General features: G+C 35.5%; 1 long non-coding RNA gene across 1 annotated transcript; it reads left to right on the top strand.

Moving 5' to 3' along the window:
- The first annotated feature begins 4,358 nt into the window (after nt 1–4,358).
- On the top strand, nt 4,359–19,539 carry LOC105375932 (uncharacterized). Its single transcript, XR_001745724.1, has 3 exons — nt 4,359–4,494; nt 11,131–11,194; nt 18,579–19,539. It is a non-coding gene; the product is annotated as an uncharacterized LOC105375932 (long non-coding RNA).
- Nucleotides 19,540–20,315: the final 776 nt, after the last annotated feature.

Raw genomic sequence — 20,315 nt, 5'->3', positions numbered from 1 at the left:
TCTACATTTCTTGTTTGATGTTTTGAATATCCTTTTTTTGTAAAGTACTCATTGAAAATATTAACCATTTAGGTGATACCGCTAAAGGCAATTTACAAATTCAACGTTATTCCTATTAAACTATGATATTCTTCACAGAATTAGAAAAAAATGATTGTAAAATTCATATGGAACCAAAACAGAGCCCAAATAACCAAGGAATCCTAAGCAAGAGAACGAAGCTGGAGGCATCACATTACCCAACTTCAAACTATACCAGAAAGCTACTGTAACTAAAACAACATAATACTGGTAAAAAAACAGACACAATGACCAATGAAAGAAAATAAAGAGCCCAGAAATAATGTCGCACTCCTGCAATCATCTGATCTTCAACAGAGTCAACAATAATAAGCAATGAAAAAAGGAATGTCTATTCAATAAATGATACTGAGATAACTGGCGAGCCATATGCAGAAGATTGAAACTGGACCCCTTCCTTTCTCCATATTCAATAGTCAACTCAAGAAGCATTAAAGTGTAAAACCTAAAACCATAAAAACCCTGAAAGATAACCTAGGAAATACCAATCTGGATATAGGATCTGGCAAAAAATTTCATAATGAAGGTGACAAAAGCAATTGCAACAAAAACAAAAACAGACAAGTGGGACCTAATTAAACTAAAGAGTTTTTATAGAGGAAAAGAAACTCTCAACAGTGTAAATAAACAGCCTACAGATTGTGAGAAAATATTTGTAAACTATGCATCTGTCAAAGGTCTAATACCCAGCATCTATAAAGAACTTAAATAAATTAAGGAGCAAAAACAACCCATTAAAAAGTGGGCAAACAACACGAGCAGACACTTTTCAAAAGAATACATACATGTAGCCAAAAAGCATATGAAAAAAAGCCCAATGTCACTGATCACTAGAGAAATGAAAATCAAACCCACAGTGAGATACCATCTCACACCAGTCAGAATGGCTATTATTAAAAAGTCAAAAATAACCAATGTTGGTGAGGTTGCAGAGAAAAGAGAATGCTTATACTCTGCTGGTGGAAATGCCAATGAGTTCAGCCATTGTATAAAGCAGTGTGGTGATTCCTCAAAGAACTTGAAACAGAATTACCATTTGATAAACAATCTAATTATGGAATATGTAATCAAAGGAATATAAACCATCTTACCATAAAAAATATGCATGTGTTTGTTCATCTTAGCACTATTCACAATAGCAAATGCCCATCAATGGTAGACTGGATAAAGAAAATGTGGTACATATACACCACACAATACTAAGCAGCAATAAAAAAGAATGAGATGATGTTCTCTGCAGCAACATGAATGTAGCTGGATGCCATTATCCTAAGCAAAGTAACATAGGTAAAGAAAACCAAATACTGCACTTCATAACTTACAAGTGGGAGATAAATGATGAGAACACATGGACACAAAGAGAGAGACAACAGACACCAGGGTCTACTCGAGGTTGGTGGGTAGAAAGCGGGAGAGGATTCAAAAACTACCTTTTGGGTATTATGCTTGTGACCTGCATGATGAAATAATCTGTACACCAACCTCTGTAACAAACAATTTACCTATATGACAAACCTGCACCTGTACTCCTGAATCTGAAATAAAAACTAAAAAAGAAATTGTTAACCACTTAAAAATATCAGGTGGGCCAGGCATGGTGGCTCATGCCCGTAATCCCAGCACTTTGGTAGGCTGAGGCAGGAGGATCATTTGAGGCCAGGAGTTGGAGACCAGCATGTGCAACATAGTGAGACCCCATTAAAAAAAAAAATTAGCCAGGCATGTTGGCTCACACCTGTTATCCCAGCTACTAGGGAAGCTGAGGTGAGATGATTGCTTGACCTTAGGAGGTTGAGGCTGCAGTGAGCCACTGCACTCCAGCCCTGACTAAAAAAAAAAAAAAAAAAAAAAAAAAAAAAAAAAAAAAAAAAAAAAAAAATCAGGTTGGGCCAGGCGCGGTGGCTCAAGCCTGTAATCCCAGCAGATTATCTGAGGTCAGGAGTTTGAGAGCAGCCTGATGAACATGGCGAAACCCCGTCTCTACTAAAAATACAAAAAATTAGCTGGACGTGGTGGTGTGTGCCTGTAGTCCCAGCTACTCCGGAGGCTGAGGCAGGAGAATCACTTGTACCTGAGAGGTGGAGATTGCAGTGAGCTGAGGTCACACTACTGCACTCCAGCATGGGTGACAGAGTGAGACTCCGTCTCAAAAAAAAAAAAAAACAGGTTGTCTGCATAATTTATTAACTTCTTGTAACTCTCACTATTTTGGTGTATATATTAGTCAGGAATTTTTCTCTATATATATATTATTATATAGTTCACATAACTCATATATTTTACTTACAGCACTCATACATTTTACTATTTTCATTCACTCAACAGCCAGCACTAGATCCCTTCCCCAAGTTCCAGATTTATATATTTAATGTCTATTGACAGGTCTTCTTGGATCTTCATCTAACTGGCATCTTGAAATTAAAGCACCTAAATCTTAGATACTGATACTGATATTCCTCTGAACCAGCTCCTGTCAAAATCCTTTACTAGTCAGTAAACGGCAGTTCCAGTCTTCTAGTTGTCCAGGGCACACTCTTTGATTTTTTTTTTAGTTTATCCATTACCTCATATTCATTCCATCAACAATTTTATTTTTGCCTCAATCTTCAAAATATATCCCGACGTTTCACCACTCCACTACCAGGACTTTGGCCCAGAGTTCTTTCATCTGGAATATATCACAACAGTATCAAAATTTGCTTCCTTGTTACTTACTTTGCCTCAGTAAAGTCTAGTCTCAACACAGATGATAGAATAATCCCATTAAAATAGAAATCTCAGTAAGCCCTCCTAAAGGTTATTACCTTATGGAAAATAAAGACCAAGTATTTTTCATGACTCGCAAAGCTTTGTGTGATCTGCCTCCCAGCCACCTCTGTGATTCCCTTCATCTGCTGCCCTCTCCCTCTGCACCTGCCCCATCACCCTGGTCTCCTTGCTGTGCCTGAAACAGGCCAGTCACCACTTCCTTCCGCAAGACCTTTGCACTTACTATTTTCTCAACCTGGAAAGTTTCACTTTTAGACATCTACAAGAGTGGCATTGAGAGGTGACAGCGTGCTGGCAGCCCTCACAGCCCTCGCTCGCTCTCGGCGCCTCCTTGGCCTTGGCACCCACTCTGGCTGCGCTTGAGGAGCCCTTCAGCCCGCCACTGCGCTGTGGGAGTCCCTTTCCAGGCTGGCCAAGGCCGAAGCCGGCTCCCTCAGCTTGCAGGGAGGTGTGGAGGGAGAGGCGCCAGTGGGAACTAGGGCTGCGCGTGGTGCTTGCAGGCCAGCACGAGTTCCGGGTGGGCTTGGGATCGGCGGCCCGGCACTTGGAGAGGCCTGCCCGCCGACCGCCAGCCCCAGGCAGTGAGGGGCTTAGCACCTGGGCCAGCAGCTGCTGTGCTCAACATCTCGCCGGGCCTTACCTGCCTCCCGGCGGGGCAGGGCTTGGGACCTGCAGCATGCTATGCCTGTGTCTCCCCCCGCTGCCGTGGGCTCCCACGCGGCCTGAGCCTCCCCAACAAGCACCACCCCCTGCTCCACGGCACCCAGTCCCATTGACCACCCAAGGGCTGAGTAGTGCCGGCGCACAGCGCAGGACTGGCAGGCAGCTCCACCTGTGGCCCCAGTATGGGATCCACTGGGTGAAGCCAACTGGGCTCCTGAGTCTGGTGGGGACTTGGAGAACCTTTATGTCTAGCTAAGGGATTGTAAATACACCAATCCGCACTCTGTATCTAGCTCAAGGTTTGTAAACACACCAATCAGCACCCTGTGTCTAGCTCAGAGTTTGTGAATGCACCAATTGACACTCTGTATCTAGCTATTCTGGTGGGGACTTGGAGAACCTTTGTGTCCACACTCTGTATCTAGCTAATCTAGTGGGGAAGTGGTGTACTTTTGTGTCTAGCTCAGGGATTGTAAACACACCAATCAGCACCCTGTCAAAACGGACCAATCAGCTCTCTGTAAAACAGACCAATCGCCTTTCTGTAAAATGGACCAATTAGCAGGATGTGGGTGGGGCCAGATAAGAGAATAAAAGCAGGCTGCCTGAGCCAGCACTAGCAACCCTCTGCCATCCTCTTCTTCAATGTGGAAGGTTTGTTCTTTTGTTCTTTGTGATAAATCTTGCTGTTGCTCACTCTTTGGGTCCACACTGAGTTTATGAGCTGTAACACTTATGAGCCAGCGAGACCACGAACCCACCAGAAGGAAGAAACTGCGAACACATTGGAACATCAGAAGGAACAAACTCTGGACATCCTGCTTTTAGGAACTGTAACACTCACTGCGAGAGTCTGCGGCTTCATTCTTTTAGTCAGTGAGACCAAGAACCCACCAATTCCGGACAGGGCATCTACCTAGAAGTCAGCAGCTCAGTGGAGTCTTTCCTGGTAACCCGACCTAAAATCCCCAAACTGCCAAGGTATGGCATTTCATGTTTTTCTATTCTGTTTCTATAATCTCCTTAGCATTTATCACTGTTTAATGTACTATACACTTTTCTTATATATCTTGATTATTGTCCATCTAAAACACTTGAAAGCGTGTTCCATGAAGGCATGGATACTTTTGTCTATTTTGGTCACTACTATAGTTTCCTCTCTGGGAATCATGCCAAAAACACAATACATACTCGCAAGATTTGTTGTATGAATGAATGACAACATAAATAGATCCACTGTAAAGTTCTACTGTGGTGTATTTTTTTGCTGAAATTCATTTTCTATGCATCCTAGGAGTAATCGTTCTCATACACTTCAAAATCTTTTCATATGTACAAGCTTGTATATGTTTGTCATTGTTGCTTATTCCTGTCAGTATTCCTATCTAAAATGAATAGAGTCTAATAGAGTCCGAATTTGTGCCTTTCCTATTATTTTTATTCATCTTCTTTGCACACCCCCCTCAAATAACTCATGCTTTACCTACAGCTATTTTCAACATATGCTTTCAGATATTAAGATGAAATACAAGAATATGTGCACACCTTAGTCAAAATTCTAAGTGATAATTTTCTATGGCTCTGATAAACTGAAATAGAGAATCCACTGTTAATTTTCTGTGTATGAAAGGTAAACTTCTAAGTACTTTGGGAATATTCAGAACTTTCCTTTTGCCCTGAAACATTTATTTAAAAACTTAATCCCCAGTAATCCTTGTAGTGTATGTACTCTTTCAAGATTTCTTTTTATCTCTACTGCCCTTGACATTCCTTATACAATCCTGTACATAATACTGGATATTTACCTTGTGTACTGATAAGTGTAAAGAAAAGCTTGGTTTGCACACATAGACACTGACTCTAACATTGGGGTTATTTTTGAACATCTTAAGTGATTTTCTTTCCCTCTTGTGTTTCTATGATCTATGTGTGTGTGTACCACTAGAGATACTTAAATTTGGTTCCTCTCATGTGTAAGTTATTCATTTCAAATATTAATGAATTATGGACCCTTGATTTCCAAGGCTTTTGTCAGTGCATTGCTGATTTTTCTCTGATTTTATTTGTATTTTAGTAGGAAGGAAGAGGAGAGCAAATATGATATTTCTGTGAGCTGTTACTATAGGCTGTTTTGGTTAACTTAAATTTAAAAGATTATTTTAAAAATAATTGGTCAGTATTTTGCTGTTAACTTAAAATATTATTTTACCTATTTACTATACATACATAGTGTGAAAAATGTGTTAACAGCTTGTAAAAATATAAACCTGTCAATTGAAGAAAATGATGAGACAAGTCTTAATTATTTTTGGAGACTTACTTGCCAAAGTTAAGGATGTGCCTGGGAGACAGGTCTATGCCTTTCTCTGAAGATGATTTTGAGCGCTCCAAATGTAAAGGGGAAAGGGCAGGATATTGACAAGCACACAGTTTTTACTTAAACAAAAGGAGCAAATGAAAAATGTGGGGAATCTGCTTTATTTTTTTTTTTGAGACGGATTCTCAGTCACCAGGCTGGAGTGCAGGGGCGTGATCTCGGCTCACTGCAACCTCCGCTTCCCGGGTTCAAGCAATTCTCCTGCCTCAGCCTCCTGAGTAGCTGTGATTACAGGCACTCGCCACCACGCCCAGCTAATTTTTGTATTTTTAGTAGAGATAGGGTTTCACCATGTTGGTCAGGCAGGTCTCGATCTCGTGACCTCGTGATCTGTCCACCTCAGCCTCCCAAAGTACTGGGATTACCGACGTGAGCCACTGCGCCCAGCCAGAATCTGCATTTTACGTAATATAATACATACAAAATGGGGTAGGGGCACAATCTGATATGCATTTGTCTGGCAGGCGGGGGTAACTGCACCTGTAAAGATAAGCTATCAATTAGCGTTGCCGTGGTGAAGTTTTAACAGCTCACCAGGAATTTCCTTTCACAAACCCAACAATTCCTGGTCAGCAGTACACCACATAGTTTTACCAATTTTTTTCTGTTCGGAGCAAACTACTTGAATGTCTTCTAGAGATATCCAGTGTGTTTTATTTCATATTTCTAATATTAGCATTTTTCTATCTCTTGTCTCAGTATTTTAGATATCATCTCAGCACTATCCAACCACCACTACACTCAGCCCCTATTCCCCAAATTGCTATACTACAAATTTGAATAAATAACACTGTGTTTTTTGTTTTCTTTCCAACTTTTATTTCAAGATTTACAGGGTCCACGGGCAGGTTTGTTACATGAGTAAATTGCATGTTGCAGGAGTTTAGTAAACAAATAAAGAGAATTTCACCCAGGTAGTGAGCATAGGACCTGATAGGTAACTTTTTGACCCTCACTTTCCTCTCACCCTTCACCCTCAACTAGGCCCCAGTCTCTAATGTTTCCCTCCATGTTTAGCTCCCACTTATAAGTGAGAACATGTAGTAGTTGGTTTTCTGTTCTTGTGTTAGTTTGCTTAGGATAATGGCCTCCAGTTGCATCTATGTTGCTGCAAAGGATATGATATGATTCTATTTTATGGCTGTATAGTATTCCATGGTGTACATGTACTACATTTTCTTTATGTAGTTCACTGTTGATGATCATCTAGGTTGATTCCATGTCTTCTACTGTGAATAGTGCTGCAATGAACACAGGAGTGCGTGTGTCTTTTTTGTAAAATGATTTATTTTCCTTTGGATATATACCCAGTAGTGAGATTGCTGGGTCAAATGGTTTTTCTATTTTAAGTTCTTTGAGAAATCTCCAAACTGCTTTCCACAGTGGCTGAACTGATTCACATTTCCATTAACAGTGTATAAGTGTCCCCTTTTCTCCGCAGCTTCACCACCATCTATTATTTTTTGACTTTTTACTAATAGCCATTATGACTGGTGTGAGATGGTATCCCATTGTGATTTTGATTTGCATCTTTCTAATGATTAGGGATAGTGAACATCTTTTATATGTTTCTTGGCTGCCTGTATGTCTTTAAAAAAATGTTCGTGTCTTTTGCCTACTTCTTAATGTTTTGGGTTTTTTTTTAATTGTTGAATTGCCTAAGTTCCTTATAGATTCTGGATATTTAACCATTTTGGATGCATACTTTGCCATACATTTTGGATACATAGTTCTCTTCTATTTTTGGTAAAGTCAGTGTTTTGACTTTTTTCTGGCTTTTATTATAAGATATTACCAACTGATACTCTAGGTTACATACCATTGGTCCACTCTATTTTTTAAATATATTTTGTTTTTCCCTGGGGCAATAATTGACTAGTTTTTTAAAAACATGCTTTTTTGGAATCTTTGACATAGCCATCTCACAATTTATACATACTGTAAAATGCTTGGGTAGTATACTTCTTCATAAGACCATATTCGTCAAATAACCTATTTGTTGACATTTCTTTTTTCCCCAGGCTTTCCTGGAATTTTGGAGCCCTCTCAGATTGCTCTGTAGATTTGTTATCTAGTTGTCATCCTTGGAATTACCTTCACTTCTTTCAGGTGTTGAGTATCGTCTTTTTCCAATATCTGATTAAACTTTTCTTCATTTATTTATTTGTTTTGTTGAAATACATACCCAGAAGTTTTCTGAGAGAGGAGTAATGAGAGCTACATTTATTTTTTGAACTTTTCATGTCTAGAATATATCTCTTCTACCCTTATACTTGAATGCCAGTTTCCTGGATTAGAAGTCTAGTTCAGGAGCTATTTTACCTTAAAAGTAAGCTATTTTATCTTACAAGGCATTTTTTTCCTATTTCTTGTCTTCCAGTGCTGTTACTGTGATCTCAGATGTTCTTTTAATTCTCAAATTTCAGTAAATTTTTTCTGCTTTAGAAAATTTTAAAATATTATTTCATCTTCATGTTCTAAAATTTAACAAAATGAAAATTGTTTATTTCTGCTATACTGTTTCTCCTCAAAACCTTATAACCTTTCACTTTAGGAAAAAAAAGTTAATAAGGTAATATCCTTCCCTATGAAAATTTTTTGTTTGCTCTTTTTGAAACCTGTTAGTGAAATAGTGCATGTCTATCTCTATCATTTAACATTCCTTTTGTAAAAATGTTAGGGTTTCTACACCTTGCGTTGCAAGCTTCCCTTATGAATATGGAAATCTTCGTTCACTCATGTTCACAGGTGAGGCAGTGGAAAGCAATCTGTGCATGGATGGAGCTTGCCCCTGGTAAGCTTGTATAGGATGAACAGGTAGCTTTAAGATTTTTCACTAGAGAACCTCCCATATCAGAATGCTTAGGCTTTAATTCTGGGATTCTCATTTACTTCATGGAGGATCATCCTGCCTGTTGCCTGTAGATTAGCAGACCGGATGTTTATATCTGGAGCTCAGCAGTGAGTACCTGCAGTTTCACAGTTGAGAAAAGAGCCTTTTACTTAACTTTCAGTTTTCCTGTCTTAGGACTAGCTTCTTTTCATTCCCACACCTCACACCTACTACCTTTGAGCCAGCGATTTCCTGCCAGAAGATGGGGAAGAGATAACCTTAGTATGTACCAATAAAATATATGAATCGAAGATTAAAAGTGTTCTTTATATAGACATTTTTACAATATGCTTGTTTACTGGCCTCTTGATCCTCAGACTCTGATAGCATCTGGGACCACCACTCAACTTCCTTAATATCAGTACCCTCATCTGTGGGCAGAGAAATATTCTTCCAGGAGCATGCCAATTTATGAGTGAGACAGAGCAAAGTAGCTTTTTTAAAATGTAGACTAACACAAAACCAGGAACTTTTGAATAGATAATAAAAGTATCAGTATATTCAGCCAAAAGGAAGCTAAAATAAGAGAATTTTGGAGTCAGAATTGGAATACCAGGAGCCAGGAAGGATTATTACAGAAAGGGCTCTTAAGCAAATTCTGAAGGTGGGGTGTGCCTTGTTTTGGAAGAAATAAACTTAGCCCTCTGGCAAACAATGATTTTGTATTATCTACTAACAACATCTCATTTTAGTGAATGCGAATTGTATACACCAAACCAAACATAACATCTCATTTCTTTCTGAGGTTAACATGCTAATTTTGGTGATATAAGTCATATGAACAAAACTTCAGTTAGTTTTCAGTACTAATCAAAGAATATTTGAATAAGGCGTCACTTTTATTAAATATATGTGAAATAACACTAAAATCCTTGAGTACTTTTAAGTATATGATTTCTTATTTACACATTTCAATCATATTCATGGATCTGACTGTTCTCAGCTTCTGGTTATCCTAATTGATAGAAGGTTTCCATATTTTCAAGAAATCAAATATATATTTATTTCCATTCATTCAATATATTAAAAATGTTAAACTTAAGAAAGTTTATAAAAATTTGACCAAACTATCTTTATGTAGAATAGCATAGCAAATAAAACAGGAACAACAACCTGGAAGAAGTAATAGAAATCTTACTTGACAGATTCCTGTGGCTAACTTGAATTTTTCTGGAAACTGCCACTATAATGGTAGATTTGTCAATGTCGTTATCTCATAACACCACTGAGAAATGTTTACAAGCATCTGATGAATTTTAGGCTCACGTGTGTAAATTATGTGCACATAATGCATTCCTGGTGTAAAAATAAAAGTACAAAACATGATGTAAGAAAATATTACCAGATGTTGAGACAAAGTGAACCAAACATCCTCCTATATGAATATAGAAATACAGGGCTAGGCAGAAAACATATTATTTAAAGTATTTAATGTTTGTCCATCCAGAGCCAGAACATCCTAGTTAGGAAACAGACATGCCTCTATGAAATGTAAAATATGTATTTGAGACGAAAAGAGGTAGCATAAACTACTTCAGCTGGCACAGAAAGATTAAGGAAAGGCAATTTATTATGGAGCTTTCAATATTTGTTAGACATAGAAAGCTGGATTAGGTAGATATTGACATTCCTATTTTGACTCTGCTTCATGGTGGGCAGGTCTACGCAAACCTACCTTTAAGTCCAAAGAAGCCGAGAAAGAGGCCAAAGGGGCCGACAAATCCAGTTTCTCAGGAAAAAACATCTAATAGGGACTTAAGAACAGAAGGCCTGGCTGTGTCTTGGGTGGTGGCAAGACAAGATGGTGGATCTCGGCCCCGTTATGCCCTGGCCCTGGGTTTAGGTAGCGTAAGGAAGGGCTGGCTCAGAAAGAATGTGTAGGACAATTGAAGTATGATAACATCAAGATTGTTTGACCTAAGTGCAGGATTAATTGAACCCAAGTGCACTAAGTACCTGCCCTTACACAAGGAACAATAGACAAATGGGAAGTCTAAGAGGCCTTCCTGGAACTAGAGTTAATCAGAAGCCAACATGGCAGATTAACATCCAAGATGGAGTTTCTTTGGCTTCCACAACTCAAACAAGCCATACTGTAAAGAGGTGACAAGAAGTTCCAAAGGCAAATATCTCATCTGAGAAGTTAGGCATTAGTAGTTAATAGTTGGTTAGATTATTAAAATAATTCATAGACTTTTCTACTCACAACACCAAAACAGAGTACCAAGACAACGAAATCTAACATTTGCCAGTTGTTAGTGATGTGCTTTCCTTCCAGCTTCAATGTTCTTATTGCAGTTTTGTTTTTCTAATTTTTTCTTGTGTGTTGATTGTACCCTGAGTACAGAATTGGTGTACAAATATCACGGACAGTGGGAAAAACAATGAATGCTGCCTGCTTAAGTCACAAGGTGAGTACTGGTATTGCTACATCACTTTTGTGTGTGCTACACATTTCAAATGCATGCATTTGAAAATTATCAGTAATTTTCAAACTTACATAGGACGTAAGTGTAATGAAAAAGATAACTTTGACTTCACAGTGATCAGATTTCATTTTTTTTGTTTGTTTGTTTTTTGGAGACAGAGTCTTGCTCTGTCCCCGGGGCTGGAGTGCAGTGGTGCAATCTCAGCTCACTGCAAGCTCCGCCTCCCGGGTTCACGCCATTCTCCTGCCTCAGCCTCCCGAGTAGCTGGGACTACAGGTGCCCGCCATGACGCATGGCTAATTTCAGATTTCATTGTTAAACATATATTTTCAGAAGTCCGGATGAGTTACTATTAATTAGATTTTTGAAAGAAAGTTGGCCAGTTTGAAATAGTTATGCTTAAGTTTCTAGATTTTATTATTGTTCTCATTCCTTCTGATGAAGAATTAATTTCATTCTGTAAGGATCATATAATTTTTTTATAATTGAATAAGTATTCTAAACGTGTGTTTGTTAGTTTTCTCACTGTATCCTACCATTATTTTCAGTTTAAATTAGCCAAGAAAAAACATAGTACATTTTCTTCCAAGACAATTTCCTACACATATTCCCCCTCAAAAGTAAAAAAAAAATAGTCCCAAATCTAAATTGAAAATTAAACATACCAAAGCAATTTATTACTTTTTCTGTTTTGTTATTCTTTATTTATTTTCATCTGATTATTCTCCCCAACTTCACTTTCTATTTTCTGCCTTTTTGCACTCTAATATAATTTCTTGTTTGTTGTATATTACACTACTATACATTAAAATAATAATTTTCAAACTTAGAAATACACTTTTTTTATGAAACATTACATTAGGGTGCTTTGGGACATTATCAATTTACATTTTACATTTGTAAATTACTTTTTACAATGTATTAATATTTAAGAAGGATATATTCTTATATATAAAAGGCCCATTTCCTCTTAAGTTTATCATCAATTTAATAGTGCATTAACATACTGTGCTTTGATATTACTGTCGACGTTATTAACATGGCTTTCAACAGCGTATAATTTCTCAATAAATTTCCACGTTGAAAACATGTTTTAATATTTTCTTTGTATCACTGGGAACTCTCAGGATAAAAAGAATTCTATGATTGTTTTAGGGTGATAACATTAAATCAGTCTAAAATTTAACAAGACAACAAACCAAGCTTTCATAATTTTCATCATGAAATTAATGTCACTGGAACTAGATATTTTACTGACATACTTAATTTCAAAACTATTTCAAGTAAAGATTTTAAAGAAGTATTAAGTTTTTCTCTATATAATATATATATACACGAATATATATATGATATTTCAGATAATAAATATGTAGGAAAATTCTTGATACAAAGGTCTTGCTAGGAACCCTTGTTTCTATTATCAATTCACATACACACGTACACAAACACAAATTTGTTGACTAGGCAATAACATTTACTTAGAATTTGTGTGTATAGAAATTTTCCAGAAAATCCATTTGTTTAATATTTAAGCCTCATTAGTTCAAAGAAATAATATTTTTAAAATATTTATCTTGCTTTTAGCATTTTAGTAAGTATTTTCAGATTATATGTAAAATTCTAATTATAGCAAATATATCTTAGTATCTAATAAGGATATGCAAACATATAGTGTACTCACCTACATTATTTTAAAGTTTATATTTCTCACCATTTTTTCTCGGTGATCTCCTTTTTTTAAATTGGTACTCAAAATGTGTTTGCTATTGAATGAATTCTTGAAGGAAAGTATTTATGTCATACTACAGATGAATAGCTAACTTTCAAATAAATATTGAAAAACAAAATACCCTTAAAGTACAGGAGAATTCTACACAAGCCATCCTCATAGTACTCAAAAAATGGCTAAGAATTACTCATCTTTTGATTACACTGGTTAATTTCTCCTGGTTAATTGCTAGAGATCAAATCAAGGAAAGAAATGAACAATGGGTCACCAAAAAATAAAAAACGAATAATTCTACATTTCTAAAGATTCCTTGAAATCTTGATTTCTCTTCATTCTTATCAGTCTTCAATAAAGTAAGGTTTTTTGAATATTACCTAAAGATTCTTGGTCCCATAATATTAAGATTCATCACACATTTCTGCAATAAATGTCTCCAACTTCTTATGTCTGAAAGAAAAGAAGATACTTTGTCCTGTATAGTTGCAATGACACTCCTCTACTAGAATTTCCTGTTTGAGAAGACTGAGATAACTACACTAACTTGCCTCTTTTTTTTTTAACAAATATTTCTCATAAAGAAATTTAAAAAAATGTTTTGCTATTACAAAAATCAATTATTTAAACTTTTGATAAAGGGAATGGTTTCATAACATAGTAAAATTACAGATGCTGTACTTTGCTCTTTATATAGAAAGTCAAAAAAACCTAGTGTGGTCCTCAAAGAACTCATATCCTAGTACTGTAATAGAGTAATTGACATGTGAGCATTTCAAGGGGTATAAAAGTTGCTGAAATTCAGGGAATTATTTAATGTCATTCAAAAACACTAAAGCAGTTACCATTGTTTGATCTGAACAGAATTAAGCAACTTTACCTACAACTGTTTTTCTTAAAATTTTAATAAACCTAGCTACCAGAAACTTTTTTCTTAGATCTTGAAAGCCTCAGAAATCTTCAGTTTTGTCTATGTACTTCTTGTACTCTTAGCTTATGCCTCCCCTTATGTTATAATTTGTTGTATAGATTCTGTCTTCCCAATAAATTATTACTTTTAAATGGTGGGTATATTTGTCTTATGCGTCTTAGCAGCTAATTTGTCTAGAAAAAATGTTATATGAAAAAGAGTTTTTCATGAAATTATTTGCCTTTGTCATTTACTTACATGGTGGAAGCCTGGTAGAAAGGGATAAGGGAGTACCACAGGGAGCTGGCTGGCAAAAACAGCGAGGGATTATATGAAACAAGAATGTGACGTATTAAATGTCACTTGTTCTCAGCTGTGGAGTATACTCACTATCTAGCAAAATTGTAAAATATCTCACTGGGAACCCCATTCTATCTCTACAAAATACAGGCAGCATATGTATAAACCTTAATAAACCTTATATCAACCCTTACTTTTCTCCAAGTTGAATTGTTCAGTCATATTACTCTTGCAGACCCTTTTACCAAGGGAAGCAGAGGTTGATACTGTACACTGTTTTCCTGGCTATGTTATTGGTGCTGATCACTTCATGTCCATTTATACATGCTACACATTATGCAATAGGTGACTGACCACCATTCCTCCTTGATTCATAAGATGTTCAATAAAATTAGGAAAATGAAAAATCAGAAGATTAATGACGGTTAAGAATTGAAGCTAACCAATGAGATCAAGAGAAACGTAATTAGATTTCATGTAGAGGGTGAAGATGATTACCTTCAATTTGACTAGCAGGAAGATGGTGTTGAGAATCTTTGGCATCAGGTGAATTGGAGAGTGTAAAACTTTTAACAAGAGGAAGGGGAATAATTCTCTTTCACAGTTAGCTTGAAAACATAAGACTTGTGAACATATGGTCAATCATGTTCTGTTTTGCAGTCAGTCTCTTTTTTAAATTTAACATACTTTTTTTTCTTTGTGCCTACTAACTATGCACTGATTCAGAATATGATGATTTTACCCATTACAGTCACTTTGGAAGGTAATCTATTGCTACCAAATACTATGCCTTTTTATCAGAGTTCTAATTAGTGATTATTTATGTATATACATCCATCTTTTCCTTCTACTTCCACACCGATTAAGATAATCCTCTGACGTTTTGAATATTATGTCTAACAACAGATATTTTGTGTCCTGACTTACCATTCATAAACAGGTAAATTCTCTCATTGTGCCTTTTCACATTAAATAAATTAATATATAGGTAAGATATTTTAAGTTCCAGACTTTGAATTAAATGTCTTTAATTTTGATGACAAAGTTACCAAGAAGGAGCTTTATAATATACTCTTCTGAAGAAACTAATGTAGACAACCTGTAAACTCTAGTAAAATGGAATACAGAATCCATTAACTTTACATAGTGAGATGAATGAAGTGCTATCATCCATATGCCTTTCCTGAGTCTGTAAGGCACATCATTCAGATTACTGAAGCATATGGTTAGGTCATTACTTTCTGTCCAAAAGTCTGCACAAAATTTTGTATTACATTCAAATTGGTTCAACACATTTCTTAAAGTGAAGCAAATTCAGAAGACATTTTGAGATACTTAAATACCACTCTATCAGTGAAATTTTATGGTGGATATACATCTGAGTTCTACTTTTAAAACTATATCAATAAATTATTCTTATTAGAATTCCTTCTAATGTAATGATTTTGCCTGCTGTATTTAGCAAAAATTTTATGTCCTTTGCCCACTTTTTAAAAGAAGAACTACATGCCACCAACAAGCATATGAAAAAAGCTCAGTATCACTAATTATTAGAGAAATGCAAATCAAAACCACAATGAGATACCATCTCACACCAGTCAGAATGGCTATTATTAAAAAGTCAAAAACTAACAGATGCTGGCAAGGTTGCAGAGAAAATACAATGCTTATTTACGCTGTTGGTGGGAGTGTAAATTAGTTCAACCATTGTGGGAACTAATAGGTATGTGGGAACTAATATGTGGGAACTAACATGTGGGAATAATAGTATGGTGATTCCTCAAAGAGCTAAAAACGGAACTACCAATCCCATTGCTGGGTATAAATGCAAAGGAATATACATCATTCTATCATAAAGACGTATGCATGTGTATGTTCATCTCAGCACTACTCACAATAGCAAAGACATGGAGTCAACTGAAATGCTCATCAATGGCAGACTTGAATAAAGGAAATGTGGTACATATACACCATGGAATGCTATGCAGACATAAAAAGGAACTAGATCATGTTCTTTGCAGCAATATGGATGGAGCTGGAGGCCATTATCCTTAGCAAACTAACACAGCATCAGAAAACCAAATACCACAAATAGAGAGTGAGAGGGTGGAGACGAGCAGAAAAAAATAACTGTTAGGTACTAGGTTTAGTACCTGGGTGATGAAGTAATCTGTAAATCTAACCCCTGTGACATGGGTTTACCTATATAACAAACATGCACATGTGCCCCGATCCTAAAATAAAAGTTTAAAAAATTATTAAGAATATATTTTACTCTACTCATAATCTACTTTAAAATTTTCAGTTGATCATCAAAGGCTTAAACTCCATTTATTTTGCAAAGGAAATTTTGAGAACCTATACCACACAATTTCTATGTGCTAGGCATACAGAGAGAAATATGAGGAAGTGTACAATGACTTTCATTTCAGGTTATGACTGAACAGCTGATGGATTAGTATCTTATTGCTGTTATAACAAATTACTGCAAACTCAATGTCTTAAAACAGCATAAATGTATTATCTAATAGTAAAATGTCTAAAACAGGTCTTCAGCTATGTTCCTTCTGGAGGATCAAGGGGAAGAATTTGTTGTTTTGATTTTATTGGCTTCTCCAGCTGCCCACATTTCTTGGTTCATGGCTCCCTGTACTCTAACCTTTACCTCTGTTGTTAGCTCTCCTTCTCTGATCTTGGGCATTGACTATTCCAAAACCTCTCACAAATTATATGCTACCTATATGTATATTTTACTCAAGTATCCTCTAGGAGCCAACATAGTTACTATTTACTCACTTGACTTATTATCAGTGTCATAAAGAGTAATGATATTGTTGCTTGAGTTCCTTCTACATAAGACTAGAAATGTAATATTTTATATTTCAGATCAGCAGCAATTTTATTTTTTATAAAATACTTATAGAAAGATTATTTGCAAAATGTTTTCTCTGAATTTTTTTTATCACATCCTTTTTCTTTCTGTTCATACAGAGTATAAAAAAAGGAGAACACAATAATGTAAATTACTCTTTAAGAGAACTGGGGAAATATTAAAAATATTCTATAAAGATAAATTATTAGTAATATGTTTCTGTAGTGGTGTCTAGAAATGAGAAGACTTGTAAACATTTAAAACACATCAAAGAAAATTTAGTGCACTGCTTTCAGATAATCACAGAACTTTTATGAAACAATTTCAGTTTCAAATAAAATGTTGCATGAAATATTTAAAATGTTTATGGTGATTATAAAATTTGCAAACTCCTGAAATAAAATCTATTTTCTGAACACAGTATAACTCTTGGAAATTTCTGTCAATGCACTAATGTAATTAATGTAATTAGGTACTGACTCATTTTAATACTAATTAAGTTATGGAACACAATTGTATCTAACTCATTTTGGCTTTATCTTGAGTTCTATTTCGTTTTCTGCAGAGCACTGTTTTAGTTGAATCTATGGAAACTTTAGAGCTATATTTACATATGACATTTTCCAAATTAAACTATGACAGAGTTAACCAGTATACACTGTAATATAATCTTTCTTTGTCTTTTAACATCTTACATTTTACTGTTGACTGCATTTTCATGTAACTTCAGCAACAAAAACAAAATAATTTTTAATGTTTTTTATCCTCCCCTTCTCGCTGTGGAGATGCAATGAATTTGTAATATGCTGTGCAGCGTGAATTGTGCCTCTGAGCCCTGCTTGAATGAGGTCCTCCTGAGTAAACTCTATCAAGCTCGACTTTCCTATCTTGTACATTAACTCAGTAAGGGGCTACCTGGGATCATATTCTGTATTAAGTACTTTTAATTTGTTAAGACACTGAATCATGAAAACAAATTTATTTTACAGTTAATGTGAAGAAAGAAAATGCAATCACCCAAACTTATACTGATTAAATCATGAGTAAAGATATTTCGATGGGAGCAGAAAAGAGTGTGGATAAACACCATAAATCTTGTATAGATGAAAAAACAATTTTAGAAAGATATAAGAATAAGAACATATTTACTGTTAAAAACAGTAATTTGAAGATGCGGAGTTAGAATTGAACTCAGAAGTAATGAAAGTGTTTTTGGATAATTATCTCAATTCTCTCACCCTCAGTTTCCTCATCTATTAATGTTGAACTTATTTTCTTTTTTAAATCAAGTTAAAATGAACTGAAATAATAGCATTTTGAAAGCTGAAGAGCACCATGAAAAATATTGTTAATAAAATTCTGATCATTAATTTAGCTTATTATTAACTGGTATGTCATGTGTATCAGAAATCAAATCTAAGTCTCCTAATGTTATCTATTCCCAACCAAAAGATAATGCTATTTTTAGTAACTATAATGTATTGATAAGCTATAGGTCTCGTTGGCATGTTGTTTTGTCATAAGCCTCTAACTCTCTGTTTCTCTGCCTTTGCTATCTCAGGCTCTTTATTCTGATATCCCACTGCTCATTCCAAATCCCAAGATCCTGAGGAACTGTCATTGATCGACTCAGAGATAAGCTATCCAACTTTGATCTAATTAAGGATGTTCAGAGTCTATTTCATGTTTTGCATAATGATTACCAGGGTCACCAGTGCTGATAAGGAGGAATGCAAGTAGACATTGAGATGGGCTTAATGTAGTTTTTCAGATTTGAACCTTCTAAAAAGATTATCTGGATTAGAATCTGGGCTCTGCTTTGAAGCTGTAGGAATTTGGACCATTTAACTTTTGTATGCCTTAGTTTCCTAATTTATGAAAAATAATAATCATAGCCCAAACTTTATGAAAATATTGTGGAAAATTAAGTTAATCATGGCAGAAGTTTGTAAAACATCGGCATACAGTGGGCACTCTGTAAATAGTGGCTGATGTACTATTATCATTATAGACCAGGACAAGTTATTTAAATATTAACTTCTGTGTTTTTTTTTTTTTTTTACTTTCTGTCTATATTTTTTATTCTGATTTACTTCCATAAGCCAAGTATCTGTATTCCCTTTGTGTAACAGGCATAAATGCAGAAGTTATTTTCACAAAACTTGCATTATTGGCTTGGGCTTGAAGGGATTAGTAGACATGAAGAGACAAGTATGTTCAAAGACAGGATGGAGACAAAGACTCCCTAAGTTGGAGAAACATTAAAGAAAGGGAAGATTCTATTTCTGCTGCACACAGGCAAGCATTTCTCTTGGATATATTCCTAAGAATGGGGCTGTGGGATGTAGTGGAAATATTCAACTTGAAAAGAAAATCTCAAATTGTTTTCCAAATGTCTATGGATCGAAACACACACAAGCTGCTTATAAAAGATCCGTTGACTTGAATTCTCTTTAGCATTTAGTATTGTCAAAACTCATATTTTCCAATCCATTGGTTGTGAACGACCTCATTAAGACCATGATTTGTGTTTCCCCCATTGCTTGTTTTGTCATATGTTTATTGGCCATGTGTATTTCCTATTCCGTGGAATGCCTGTTGATAGAGTGATATTCTAAACATTTAGCAACTGGTACAGGAAAGGCAACAATCATTGTAAGTAGATATTAGCGCAATCAGAAAATAAGCTAGATGTGAAGGACATTAAGCCTGCCCTGTTCTGTATGGGCTGAACATTAGCACAAGCTTTTCACATCTTTTGTCTATTTTCGACAGGGTTGTATACTTTTTCATTATGGATGTATAGTCTGTATGCTTTATATACCAATCCTTTATTAGACATGCATATGACAAGTATTTTCTCCCAGGTCTAGCTTATTATTTTTTCATGAAATCCTAATTTTAGTGTAGTTAAATTTAACAATCCTTTATTAAAACTGATGGTTTATGTTGCTGCTGCTGTTTTTATATCTCATTTAAGAAATCTCATACCAAAGCCTTTATTTTCTTCTAAATATTTAAAATATTTCCATTAGATAATTAAATGTTCTGGTTTTTAATTCTACATATAATGTGAGACCGAGATCTATTTTCATTTTTTTACAGATAACGAGTTTTCCTATTTGCTTAGTACCTCCTTTCTTCATAAATACCCCATATCAGTGTTTTAATATGTTAAATTTTCATATATTCAAAATATTTTTTAACTTTTCTTTGTTTTATTAGTCTGTGTGTTTATTCCTGTGCCAATATCATTGTCATAAGTACTTTAGTTTTACATTAAGTGTGCAAGTCCCCC

The sequence above is a fragment of the Homo sapiens genome, chromosome 8, assembly GCF_000001405.40.
Source record: "Homo sapiens chromosome 8, GRCh38.p14 Primary Assembly".
Classification (NCBI taxonomy): domain Eukaryota; kingdom Metazoa; phylum Chordata; class Mammalia; order Primates; family Hominidae; genus Homo; species Homo sapiens.
This window is presented reverse-complemented; position numbering and strand designations above follow the sequence as displayed.